The sequence below is a fragment of the Homo sapiens genome, chromosome 8, assembly GCF_000001405.40.
Source record: "Homo sapiens chromosome 8, GRCh38.p14 Primary Assembly".
Taxonomy (NCBI): Eukaryota; Metazoa; Chordata; class Mammalia; order Primates; family Hominidae; genus Homo; species Homo sapiens.
In genome coordinates, this window is record NC_000008.11 from 76,570,990 (window position 1) to 76,584,067 (window position 13,078).

The window sequence follows — 13,078 nt, forward strand, 5'->3', positions numbered from 1 at the left end:
ACATATGTTGGAGTAGCACATTACAAGGAAGACATTCTAAAATCTGTACCTGAGATGATAACCTCACATGATCAAAACCATCCTAAGACATCTCTCAAATTGCCTTTATGTCTTCAGTATTTGGGTTCTGGAAACTCAAAAGCCGAGAATTAAATTATATATTTTCTCTGTGTATTGAAGCTACAGTGCATTTTCCTCCTGGTTAGAAGAGGCCAAAGCCTGATTCAAAGGAGGTTGAGGGTATAGAAATGAAGAATTATTTCTCTCCCTTCTTTTGACCTAGAAGGAATAAATTCCAAAAAGTGGTAAATTCACCTTTGCAGGAATTTCATTGTAAGTCACTGATTTTTAAGAGGTAGGCTTCAATGGTGTGGTAAGTGTGGAAACCTGATGGTAATGAGGAGAGAATTGAGGGTAATGAAGTGAAGAAAGCAGGTGCAGAGAAATGAGGCAATATTGTCCAGGGAGTCAAGGTTGCAGGGAGGTCATTTTAGGAATGGGTATGGTGGGTATGGTGAGCATGCTTGTTGGCTGAAGAAAGGAAGCCAGGGGAAAAGTTGAGATTGAAGACACGGGAGAGAGAGGAGATAATTGATGGGAAAAGGTTCCAGGTGAGAGAGGCGGGGACTGCACCAAGAATAAAATTAAAGCAAATAGCATGTCACAGAGCATAGCAGAACAGTACCTCTTCCTCTAGAATCTAGATAGAAAAAAAGGAAGAAAATGTAAATCACTCATTATGCAAATAAACTTTATATTAGCCTTAAGAGAAATTATGTGAAAGTAATTTGTAAACCCTCAAGCACTGAAACAAATGTTAGCCACCTTAGTATTTTTTTAAATTTTCATGTAGATGAGTTATCAGGAATGCAGACTGAAGCATGGGGCAGGGTCAGCAATGGAAAGTCTCTTTGAGAATTACCTGTAGAGAAGTGATAGGTAAACAAATTAGAATTGAAAGAAAACTCCTGAGTAAGAGTATAGAGGAATAAACACTGAGCTTATTCTCTCTGTAGAAACTGGTCAAGGACAATGACACAAAAATCCAGTGCTCATTAGAAGTTGGAAAAATTAGACAATTTAGTATCAGGCAGAGTGTCATTGAAAGGGAGGAAACCCAGTGTGTTAGTCTGTTTTCATGCTGCTGATAAAGACATACTGGACGCTAAGCAATTTATAATGAAAAGGAGGTTTAATGGAGTCACGGTTCCATGTGGCTGGGGAGGCCTCACAATCATGGTGGAAGGTGTAAGGCATGTCTTACATGGCAGCAGGCAAGAGACAGAATAAGAGGCAAGCCAAAGGGGAAGCCCCTTATAAAATCATCAGATCTTATTAGACTTATTCCCTACCACAAGAACAGTATGAGGGAAACTGCCCCAATGATTCAATTATCACCCACTGGGTCCCAATCACAACACATGGGAATTATGGGAGCGACAATTCACGATGAGATTTGGTTGTGAACACAGACAAACCATATCGCCCAGTACTGGAATGATTCCAACCCAGCACCTGGCACAACACCCAGCTGCAGCAGATAGGCTCATGCAATAAATGTTTATGGTAAACGAGAGTAGGCGTGGTTAACAGGGTGGAATTTAGTGAACAGGAGGGCATTTGGAGACCCCAGGCTTCAATCAGACAATCCTGATTGCTGCCCCGGTTTGAAGCATGATCAGACCATAGAAAATGAAAAGTGCTCCTAGAGAACATGTGCAGAGGGCAGGTGAGGATCATAACCAGAAAAGATAAAAAGAGCCGAAGCTTTGCCTTGAGGGCAGAAACACGACAGTCAGTTCAGGGGAAGACTGAGAAGAGTAGAAGAACTAGAAGATTGAAGAAGGAAAAGGCAATCATGAAGGAAGCGAAATCCTAAAATGCAATTGTTCTCCCTGTGAACTGTGTATACCTGGCTTTACAACATGCCTCCACCAGACACTTGGCTGAGGATGTTGGTCCCTGGCTCATAGTTTTTCTTTCTTTCTTTCTTTTTTTTTTTTTTTTTGTCCTCATTATGGCTCACAGGTGATGGCCTATAGAACAGGCTGTTCTCATGGTTACTGTAATAGTTTTCTTTTCTACTCTTTAGCAAGTCGGTATCTATCTTACTGTTGAGAAACTTCTGCCTCTATTACTTCCTCAATCCTACTAAGTTGGAGCTTCAACTACCCCAGGACCTCCTGTCCTTTATCAATTCTCCAAATCTCTTAGTCTCTTCACAGACATATTTTTTTCCTTCTCTCTTTTAAAACAATAATTTCTGAGTGTCTACTATGTGCCGGGTTTGGGCTAAACTCATTGCATAAACTTTATCAGTTTTTCCCTCCCCCACAAATTATGACACAAGAACTATCATGCTCCTTTTTTAGCTCAAACACTTGAAGTAACTTCCCTAAGAGCTTATAAATGGTAGGATCTGGAAGTGAACAAGGCAGTCAGGACTTACAAGGTTGTATTTGTGGTCCTTATGTTGAATATCTTTTCTAAATACTCCTTCCTTGCATAACCCGAATCTCCTGGTCAATCTTGGCACCACTGCTTACACCAACATTCTTAAATTTTTTTTCCTTCAGTTTGTTTGCACATACTAAGCCAATCCCAAATTCTGGAGCAGCTTAGTTGCCTGTACTCATCATGCCTACTTCCACGCTGCTAAGTGTTGTTGGAGAAAATTAAATAGCTGGGCTGTTTGCTTTCATTACGTTGTCATGATGTCCACCCTCAGCTAGGCCTTCACAAACACTGGCAATCCCTTCGCTCCTCTCTCGACAGCTATTTCCCATTTCCCACAGCATCTGTTCCAAATCTGTGTAGTTTTCCTCAAGTCTACTTTAATTAAAAACATTCTTAACATGGCTTACCAGGCTCTCCAAAATTTGGCTCCTTCCCACCTCACCAATCTCCCGAAGGGCTGTGTTCTCTCTTGCTTCTCTGGGCTCTAGCCACACTGATACTTTTTATTCTCTCTCTTGTCCCCTTCAGATATTCTGTTCACTATGCTTGAGAAGCCTTTCTCTTGCTTTTGTGTTTAACTCACTATTCATCTTTCAATGTTACATAATCTGATGAGCTTTCCCTGACTTTCTGCACTAGCTTAGATTTGTAACAGTTTTAATATTCTGCTTGTTTTTAAAGGTTTGTCTGAAGCCAGCCTTTCTCTTTAAGTGGTTAAGTACATGTAGAACATGACAATATTGTCTCATTCAACTAATATCTCCCCAGCATGTGGCACAATGCCTGACCCCGGGGAGGTGCTCCATGCTTATTTGTATATTTAACTGGAATCATACCTTTGGCATTAATAATCATATGTATTCATTTGTATTTACAGGCTGGAGAGATTTGAGATACCTCATGTATGCATAGAGTCTGTAAAGACATAAAAGGAACAGTAAGCCTGAGATTTTTCACACTGACAGTAAGTGGGGGAAGAAGAGCTTCTCAGAGTAGGTATAGGACCCAAGAAGGTATAGCAGATATGGTCCATGAAAATATGGCCCTCATGGTTTCAGCCCTGAAGAAACTGAGACGTTCTATAGAATAATATGTAAGATGGTGTCCTTTATTCAAAGAAAGGGCAAGAACTAGGATATCCAAATGCTGAAAATATGTGCCAGCCCTTGGGGTAACGGTGTTGATAATTCAAATGGCATATGCTCTACCAACGAACTGAAAGACTAAGCTATTGAAGACTGTGGAAGCTAGGACATTTTTACTCTTGTTGCATTCTCTAAGTTTATTTCTCTTGGCATGTTTTCCTCTTTGACATCTCTATTTATCTGGAGATTGAGGTTCAATCCTGTGTGACAAACTCAGGAACACAGTTTACTGAGAGCCAAAAGTTGCTGAGCTTGGGGAAGAGGAAGGCAAGTAAGAAACAAAATGAACAAAAGTAAACAGGTGAGGAAGCAATTGTCACAGGCATAGCAGGTCAGCTATAGGTTCAGGCCAACTTCAAAGAGACCTGATTTATTCATTCACTCGTTTATTCAATCATAAGGGGAAGAACAGGGAGGAGATATAGCTATGAAAGTGCTGAGAAGAGACAATAGGAATAACAGACTATGTCATTTAAAGAATTTCATCCTATAACAAGGCAGGAAAGCATTTCCCTGATGATTTGTGATGTTTAACATTTTTTCTTATACCTGTCGCTTTGTCTATTTTTCAATTTGATTGTTTTCTTACTATTGAATTGAGTTCATCCCATGATAAGACAGGAAAAGTCCAGAAAACATGACCATTAGGGGACATCTCATCTTTCCCTAAGATGGTAGAGGGTCAGTAACACCACCATGGTAAACACCTAGATCTGACCACCAAGAAATCTGATCAATGCTCAGTAGTATTCCTGAAACATACAGGGTCAGAATTTAAGCAATGTGCAAGAAGTATTCTCAAACCTTCCTTGTTCACAGGGAAAGTTTACTGATCTAGTAACTACTGACATCACCTGTGTTTCTAGAGATGGATGAACCTCCAGGCACACAACTCAACCCTAGCTGGCAGTATTTAGCAAAAAGATTTTAGAATATTTTGGTCTGCCTAGGGTGTACTGTGGTATATTATTCAGGACTACTGGGGTTTCAACAGGTAGAAACCAAATGCGAACTAACTTAAGCCAAAAAGCAATGTGGGGGCTATTTATTGTTTCATAGAATTGCAAATCTAGGTGAACATTGCTAAGTGCACAGTAATCAACCACTGGCATGGCCAGGAGTAGGGGATCAAATGATGTCACCAGGCTCTGGTCCATCTTAAAGTCTCCACTTAGCATTCCACTGAGAGGGTCCTTGTACCTCCAGCATCACTTCTTCCTTACTGTCAGTAGCCCCAATGGAAAGAGCTATATTTCTTCTCAAATTTTATAAAAACACTGGACTTGCTTCCCAATGGCCTAGATTAGATCTTATGTGGAACCCAATCAGGGTCATGAAATGTGCTGAGTGGCTAATCGTGGACCACATCCCAACATTTCCAGCTTAAAGTGGGTCAGCCTCATTCATATGGAGTAGACTGAGAATGTGGGGTGTGGGGGAAGTTTCCCAAGGAAAAATGGTTTACTTTTACAAGTGAAGAAGAGAAGGATTCCAAACAGGAAAAGAAAGAAAGAAAAAAAAATGATGCCCACAATAAATATATTCCAAGGAAAGGAGTTTGGTATACTGCCTGGGTGAGAGATGAAAGAAGCCGTGATGCTTCCTTTTATAAGTTAGGATGCTTGCTGTTGTTGTCGTAGTTGTTAGGAGATTCAGAAACCCATCATGAACTAACTTGAAAAGAAAATCAATTGGCTTTATATAATCCAATCATTGGAAGAGGGGGGCTGGCCTCAGGAATTGAATTCATGGTGAAAAAAAAATTATCAGGACCTTCTGCTCTCCAGCTCTTTCTCTTATTTTACTTGTTAGCTTTATTTTCTTCTACCACTGAACTTTCTTCACCTAGTGGTACACATGGCTCTCTGGACTCATATCCCTATCATTTCATCAGAAAGGAAAGGACATTTTATTATCATTTCTAGCCTGAAAAATCAAGGGAAGAAACTCACATTTAGCCAGCTGGAATCACTTATTTATCTCTTGATCAATTAGGAAAGCAGGGTCTATCGTCAGAAGCATAGTGCTTTGCTGTATAGATGGTATCCACAGCACTAGTTCTCAAACTTCTTGTGCCATAGAACTTTTTGGCAGTCTGGAGGAAACCGAAAAACCCAATCTAAGAATAATGTATTTAAACTCCTAAGACACAACATATAAGATTGCAAAGAAAAACTATGATATTTAAGTATAGCTATCAAAATATATTAAAAATAATTTATGATACAATCACATGCATGCTTTATTACTGATACACTAAGTGATAAGACGTGGAAACATGCCTAATCACTCCTCACGTAATTTTCAGGTAGTAGTGACCATAAGTATTTACCACATGTGTAAGGTTACATAAAAATATCTGTGATTTATTTTGGTAACAATACAGATACTGCTAGTATTATTGTGATTTGTTTCCTGCTTAAAAATTTGAATAAAGTTATACACTTTAGTTTGAAGCCAGTAAAAATAATGTTACAATTTTGCCCACCCAAGTCCTTAGTCCCTCTGAATTCTGCTCATAGATCACTGCAGAGTCCATGGACTCCAGGCTAGAAGCTGCTGAACTAGAGAGTCAATGAGGTAAGAATTGAAAAATCCCTAAGAAAAGATGCATTTCAGGAGCTACTGGATCCAGCTGCCCATCTTCACCTGGATAATTTTACGCCAAGGCCAAAACTAAGATTTTATTTTACATGATTGTGATGTAGGCCTTTCTTGACCTAGCTATTCCCATTATGTCTCATCTGAAGAGTGAAATAATTTGTGATGTCACTTTGTTCAGAAAAGGTTGTTTCTCAGACCTACACCTTGTTTTGCGTTTGAGTCCTAAACGGGTAGCAAGGTTTATATTTAGCACTAAGCCGTGAATAGTAGAGCTTAAAGTATCAAGAAGAGCGGTTCAACTCTGGTGGAAGTGGAGGTGTTCTGCTTTCGATGGGTGACAAGGAGAAGAGCAGTACAGGCCATAGATACATGGACACTAGCCATTTGAGGTTACAGTCTAGAACTGGATAACCCTGCAAGAACTAATGATAACAGAGTCAGAAATATCTACTTCAAAAACCTAATTTTTTTTAAAAAAAAATTCTTATTTCCCTCTTTTTCTTTCATAGTATTTTTAAATTATTTTAAGACTTTAACCTTCTTTGGCTGTGCCAAGAAGGAAAAAACAAATAGTTTATGTTTGGGATAGAATTTTTGAAGAACAATGAGGAATGCACCCCTGGGAACTGGCATTGATAGTCAAAGTAATTTATGTGATGTGAATGGTTGAGGAAATAGATTTAGGATCCTTGATCAGCTACTCCATGCTTCTTGGCAATCTCTTGGAGCTTCTGAGTGGATTTTAATGAGAAAGCATTTCGCAAAGCATTAACCAGATTATTGTGAACTCAGGTGAGGGAAGAGCCAAAATATCAAATCCAACAAAAACTGAATAACTACTATGAGTCAGGCATTATGGAATGCATTTTACAGATACTAATTTATTTAAGCCTCTCAAAATGTGTGGAATAGCTACCATTATTTTCATTTTACAAGTGAGAGAACTGAAACGCAGAGAAGGTGAGTAATTTATTGAAGATCACACAGCTGGTAAACAGCAGAATACGTATGTGATGCCAGGATGCCTGACTACAAATCTAGTGCTCCTCTTTGCTGTCATATCTCCTTGCCAAAGAAACGCACTTGCTCACCCAGTTATTTCTTGTACCCATTGGCCAGCTTCCCTGGACTCTGGGCAATTTGCCAATAGAAAAAACAGAATCATCAGTGTGAAAAACCTGGAAATGGACCTTATGTGACCTTAAGGCAGATTTCCTTACCCTGGCTTTTGCAAAGAAGAGAGTCAAAATGATTCCAAAAAAGAACAAAAGCTTAGAAGTTTTATATGTCCTTACTTGAGCTGTATTCCTATTTTTTAAAGTGATGATCCTAATTATTAGATTATAGTGAGATCAGAACAGAATTATCTAGAATATCTCTAATGTCACACTGAGAATCATAATAGAAAGCATATGTAAAAGTATTAACTTTCACAAAACAAATATTTGTCGATGGGGAGTGAGAGGGGAGAATAATTTGAGCTTTGTATTTGTCGAGCATCAGACTGATAGAACTGCTATGTAGAAATGAACATAAAGATATATCATGATTAGTTATGACATATTGGCACCACTCTCAAATTAATCCAGACATTTAGACCTTCAAAGCAGGTCACTATTTTTTGGACTATGGCAGCAATTAATAAATCAATCTTATCACAGAGTGATTGATTAGCACATTTTGAAGAATGTATAGCAAATGGCTACGCTAATCAAGGGAAATAAAACTATTCATAGATCTCTTTTTAATTTGAATTTTCTCCAATTATAAACAGATTCTCCCTACCCCCAGCCATATCTAAGTGCATTTAATATACTACGGATAGAAAAATGTGTGAGACTGACAAAATATCCACAGTCTGTAACCTCTATTGGAAAAGGCTTTGATTACAGTAAAATTACACAAAAATGTGTCATTAAAAGACATTGGACAGACATAAAATCTAACCTTTTGAGCTGAAGAATACTTAATATTCTCTTCATGATCACACAAGGGGAAATTCTTTGCTATGGAATAGCTATTTTCCTGTTAAGCAGGCTATTTCCTCAATGATTTATTTCTGAGATGTAATAGGTCGTTTAAAATGGTGGTTTAAAAGTTGGGCCTTTTGTTTAATTTTCTCACAGGCGGTTGGTAATTATCATGGTTCTGCAGTTTCTCTGGAATGCCGTGGAGGGTCAAATGCCAATGGAACCCTGCTTTATAGGGTAATTAAGACAGTCGACATGGTTATTAAATACATCATGCTAAACTAAACTGGAATGCTGTGAAATAAAATCCAAAATCATAAATAAAACTTGGGTATTCCAGCAAAGGGGTATGTGTGAAAAGGAGGAGCTTTATGCTCTCAGAATTGCAATAAATAGCTCTTGCCCACTCAGACTTACTAAAATCTGGCTACTGAAAGCCTCTGGATTAGCCTTTCAGAGAATGAAACTGAAATAAATATGGTATATTTTCCACATACACATGAAATTCGAATTCCTGCTATTTTATGTTATGTAAAATAATACAATAATACGTTTTGGTCGATCATTTGTGTTCTTTATTGCAAAGATCAAATGCTGAAAATATGTATAAAGTTATCCAATGTAAATTTGCTATGACTAGCAAATGAATATTAGATAATCTTTTCTAAACACTATCAAAAATGTCTCCCTTTGCAAGGTCTTTCCAATGACTGCTCATCACTGTGTATTCAAGCTGCCTTTCAGAATTCATCTGTAACCAGCATAAGACCACAATATAATGACTACTTTAAAGAAACCCGTAACAGGGTATGTGAAGGCTTGTTGATGTTGATAATTCTAAGCAGTGGTGATGGGTAAATATTGTCATCACAATATAAGCCTTCCAAATATGTAACTGTTTTGTGGTCATAAGCTTTCAAACTCAAGAGCTGAAGGCTTCGGTAATTTAATTTCTTTCCAGAAAATGTGATGAGTATACAAAAATGCTGGCAAAAGGCCTGGACAAAATGAGAACAGAATAAAATGCAATCTTTCCAACCTGTTATATGCTGCCTACAAGAGATTTTAAATTATTCTTCCCTTGCGTATTGCCTGAAAGTTTTTGCTATATGCATGTTTACAGGCAAATTCATTGGTTTACTAGGCAAAGGAAAAGAACTAGTCTTAAATAGGGGAAATAAATATTTCCAATTCTAGCTGTAAAACTAGAAGCCAAAACGTATAGTTGACAGGCAGGGAGCCAGCTGACTTAAGATCACTAGTCTTTCCTTAAAATCAGTCTCCGTATTTCCACATGGAACACATTTTAAGTTAACAATGTGTAGTTTGGCAAAGGAATTGTTTTTCTTTGGCATGAAACGGTTGTCTCGTTTTTTAAAAATGTATATTCTGCCTGCTTCTATACACAATGTGTGTCGACATTCTTTTGAACTTTAAAAACTGTTGCTATATCAGGAAATTTGTAGATAATTCCTTTTTACAATTTTTGTCTAAATAGAAAAGTGCATATTTAACATATTCATATGCTTGTTCTTACGCCTGGTATCATTCTGAATATTGCTTAAATATACCTTGAAATGCATATTGAATGGAGACTTAACTATATCACATACTTTGGGGAAAACAGGCCTCTCAGAGAAGTCATTTAAAATTTCTTTGATGAGTATTTTTATAGGGTTTATTGACAATGTACAATCTGAAAATGAATGCAGCCATTCCCTTCTCTCAGTCAGAGTCTTAAAATTGAGTCATTCTATCCACAATGTATTTATAGCACTGAAAACAGTAGAGTGGAATGCTACCCATTCAAACATTTGCAGTCTATTTCCCTATTTCTGGCTGCTACTACAGAAAACTCAGAAAAGCAGAAATGCAAATCTTCAGACATTGGTTCCACATGAAATGGGACAGACTGCTGCACCAGCTACTGTTGTTGAGACCAGATAGGGCCACTGCTGCCTACACATAAAGAAGGCCATTAAGGAGAAGTTGTTTATTTCTGCTTCTGCAGAAATCATAAACACCAACCTGGAGCCTGACAGCCCAAGCTGTGCTGCAGTAAATTCTAGTACTTTGTTGGCCATTCTAAACTGCCCAGTAAAAGTTACTGTAGCTAAATCCCATATACATTTCATGAAATAATCCTTCTCAGAAGATGGTATCATATTCATGCACAGCAGGGTGTGCAAATGCCTATAAATCACATGTAGAATCTGAAATATCTATTTAAAAAAATCTAACCATGACCCTTTGCCAGACAATAGGCCTTCATATGCTTTGCAGCTTAGCAGACACCCAGGAATTTTGTTTGGAAGTAATAGCTACTGTCTATGTAATATTTAGGACCTATTTATGAAGCATCTGGCAGAAAATAAAAGAGTTTTCTCCACTAACATATGCTAAAGAAGGATGTGGTCATGTGCCGACTCCTCCTTTTCTGATTTTTTGCAAATAGCACAACATAAGAGATGGTTGTTTCTGGCTGCCCTGCTGCCTGTCATGGCTGTCAGGCGAAATCCCATGAATTATTGCTCTTCCAGATGTAAGAGATTTTCAGGCTGCCTTAAACTGCCTGTGGTTTGTGGTACTGGAGAGGAGAGAAACGAGATTAAACTTCATCTCATCAGTGCAATCTGAAAAGATCACACAGAGGACTAATAATCAGGGCTTTTTCATTCCAGAGCCAGACTTGAGAGCTGTGTGTTTTTGTTTCAAGGTGATGTCCCATTAAGCTTGTTGGAAGACAGTGATTAAGGTCAAACAATATTTGAGGAAGATCAAAATTTAAAAAAAGAAAAGAAAAGTGTTCAACCCTCTTCTGATGCTTCCTTATTGTATTTGCTTAAAGGGGAAGGACTGATCATTTTCACTGATGGCAGAGAATGGGAAGTGGATGTACTTCTGCAATTCAAAGTTGTCAGCATTTCTTAATACAAGGTTAATGTGAGAAAAATTAGAAATGTTCCCATAAAATTATAGCTCTACTGTTCATTGTAATTTAGAGCATACATTCATCACCATAAAAAGAATCAAGTGTCACTTTTTGTTATCTCTAAAGGTCAGTTTTGAAGTCTTGATTTTGTGTGTGTGTGATTCTATGAACATGTTACATAGAGTCTGAAAATATTCATTTAAAAAATCAGTGGTTGGTAGTAATGCTTTATGATATTTTGAGTTTTTTAAAAGAAAATTTGGTTCAGTTTTCCCTTCAAAATAATATACTCCTATAACCTCCTATAAGTGGTAAATATCAGCAGATTCAATAACCCCAGTTACCAATATTTAACTAAAGGTTTTCATAACTGTTTCCAGAATGACTCAGAAAATAAATCACACCCTCTCCCATTATGTACACTTTGAGCCCTCAGGGAGAAAACTTATAACTCATTACATTTTGATTCCCTTTGATCAAATACCATATACAGCACCTGGATATTATAATTTTAAATAATAGTCGTGACATAAACTAGGATAATGCTTAAAAACCTAAGAATCTTAATATGGTTACTATTAGTTCTTATCATTTATGGCATGGAGAAATGCTGAGTGGTTTTGTGGCATTTTGCTAGAGTTCCATTAGCAGAATATTAATTATAGATCAAGAAAACATGTTTTTCAAGAAACACCTGGAAATAATCGACAAATATATATGTCTTAGATCAGAACATAATTGCCTCAATTCAACCTGTGTAACTTTTTTCTTTTTCTTTTTCTTTCTTTTCTTTTTTTTTTTTTTTTTTTTTTTTTAAGATGTAGCCTGTTTAAGTAATGGGGTAGGCTACCAGATGTGAAACCTCCCAGGCCAGCTTTTCTTTCCATTTCAGCGTAGGCACCTCACATAGATTCTCTAATGTGAGGGATCCCAGTGAAACAGTGATGAAAACCACAGGTACAAGTGGCTTACATGAAAGCATTTATTGCTTTTCATGCATTGCATTATAGTATAGTGGGAAAAAAAAGCCCTTCGTTGAAAATGCATTAATTATTTGACACTGGTTTGCCTCAAAGTCATTTTTACTATGGGATGCAAGTGAAAGATCACAGCTGAAAAAAACATCATCATACTTGAGGTAGGCTCACAGAATCTTTTCTTGTGTTCTGTGTGAAGTTGTCTTGAACTGAAACCTATGCTCCTTAAGGATTAAGGGATTGAAAAGCAAAGACTGAGGCTGCTGTAATTTAAACCCAGAGATTCCCCAGCACAAAGGTGCAAAATGGACTAAGCCAATCTGACTCTTTCCTTGTTCAGTAAAGAAATAATTTTCCTTTAGAAAGTTTTATACTATTAACATTCCAAAGGTGTTATCATCTTTAAAGCAAGTGGTCTTCTCTTGGTTTTAACATGCATTGAGTGCTCACAGACACTAAATAAGTGGACATCGTTTTAAATTACAATTTATGAATCTCTAAACAATTTTCTATATAAGAGAAATATAAGGCCATTTTAAAGTAAAATGCATAATGATCTTCAGTGACTTGCATTTTCTTTGTTAAATTGGTAGTTTATTTTATTAAATATTTTCCTGGAGTTTGAGGTTGTATATTTACTTTTTTTGTAGGAAAATGCTTATTTCCAACTCAATGAATTATCCAAGTCAATGAAATTTAAAACTGTTAATTTTCCTTCAAGTAACGAAAATAATCTCTGAGCAAGAAAAAGCCCTTAATTGCAGTCATCTATTTTATTACATGTGGTTTAAGTCCAAATGAAAACTCAAAGAGATCTTTATTCAGTCGTTGGGTCAATCTTTCATTCGAGTTAGTTTTCAAGCACTTCGTGTCATTCAGTTAGGCACTTCACATTCAAGGGTGCAAATATAGACATAGCTTTGCCTTCACGTCTAGTGAGAGACATATACATTAAATTAATAATTAAGTAAATAGCTATGTAAACTACAATTA

At 37.1% G+C, this 13,078-nt stretch overlaps 1 long non-coding RNA gene across 1 annotated transcript in view; it reads right to left on the reverse strand.

Annotated features, from left to right (window-relative positions):
- LOC107986952 (uncharacterized) overlaps window positions 1–13,078 on the reverse strand; it is a 113,744-nt gene that overhangs the window by 87,054 nt on the left and 13,612 nt on the right. The gene's annotated exons all lie outside the window — the stretch shown is intronic.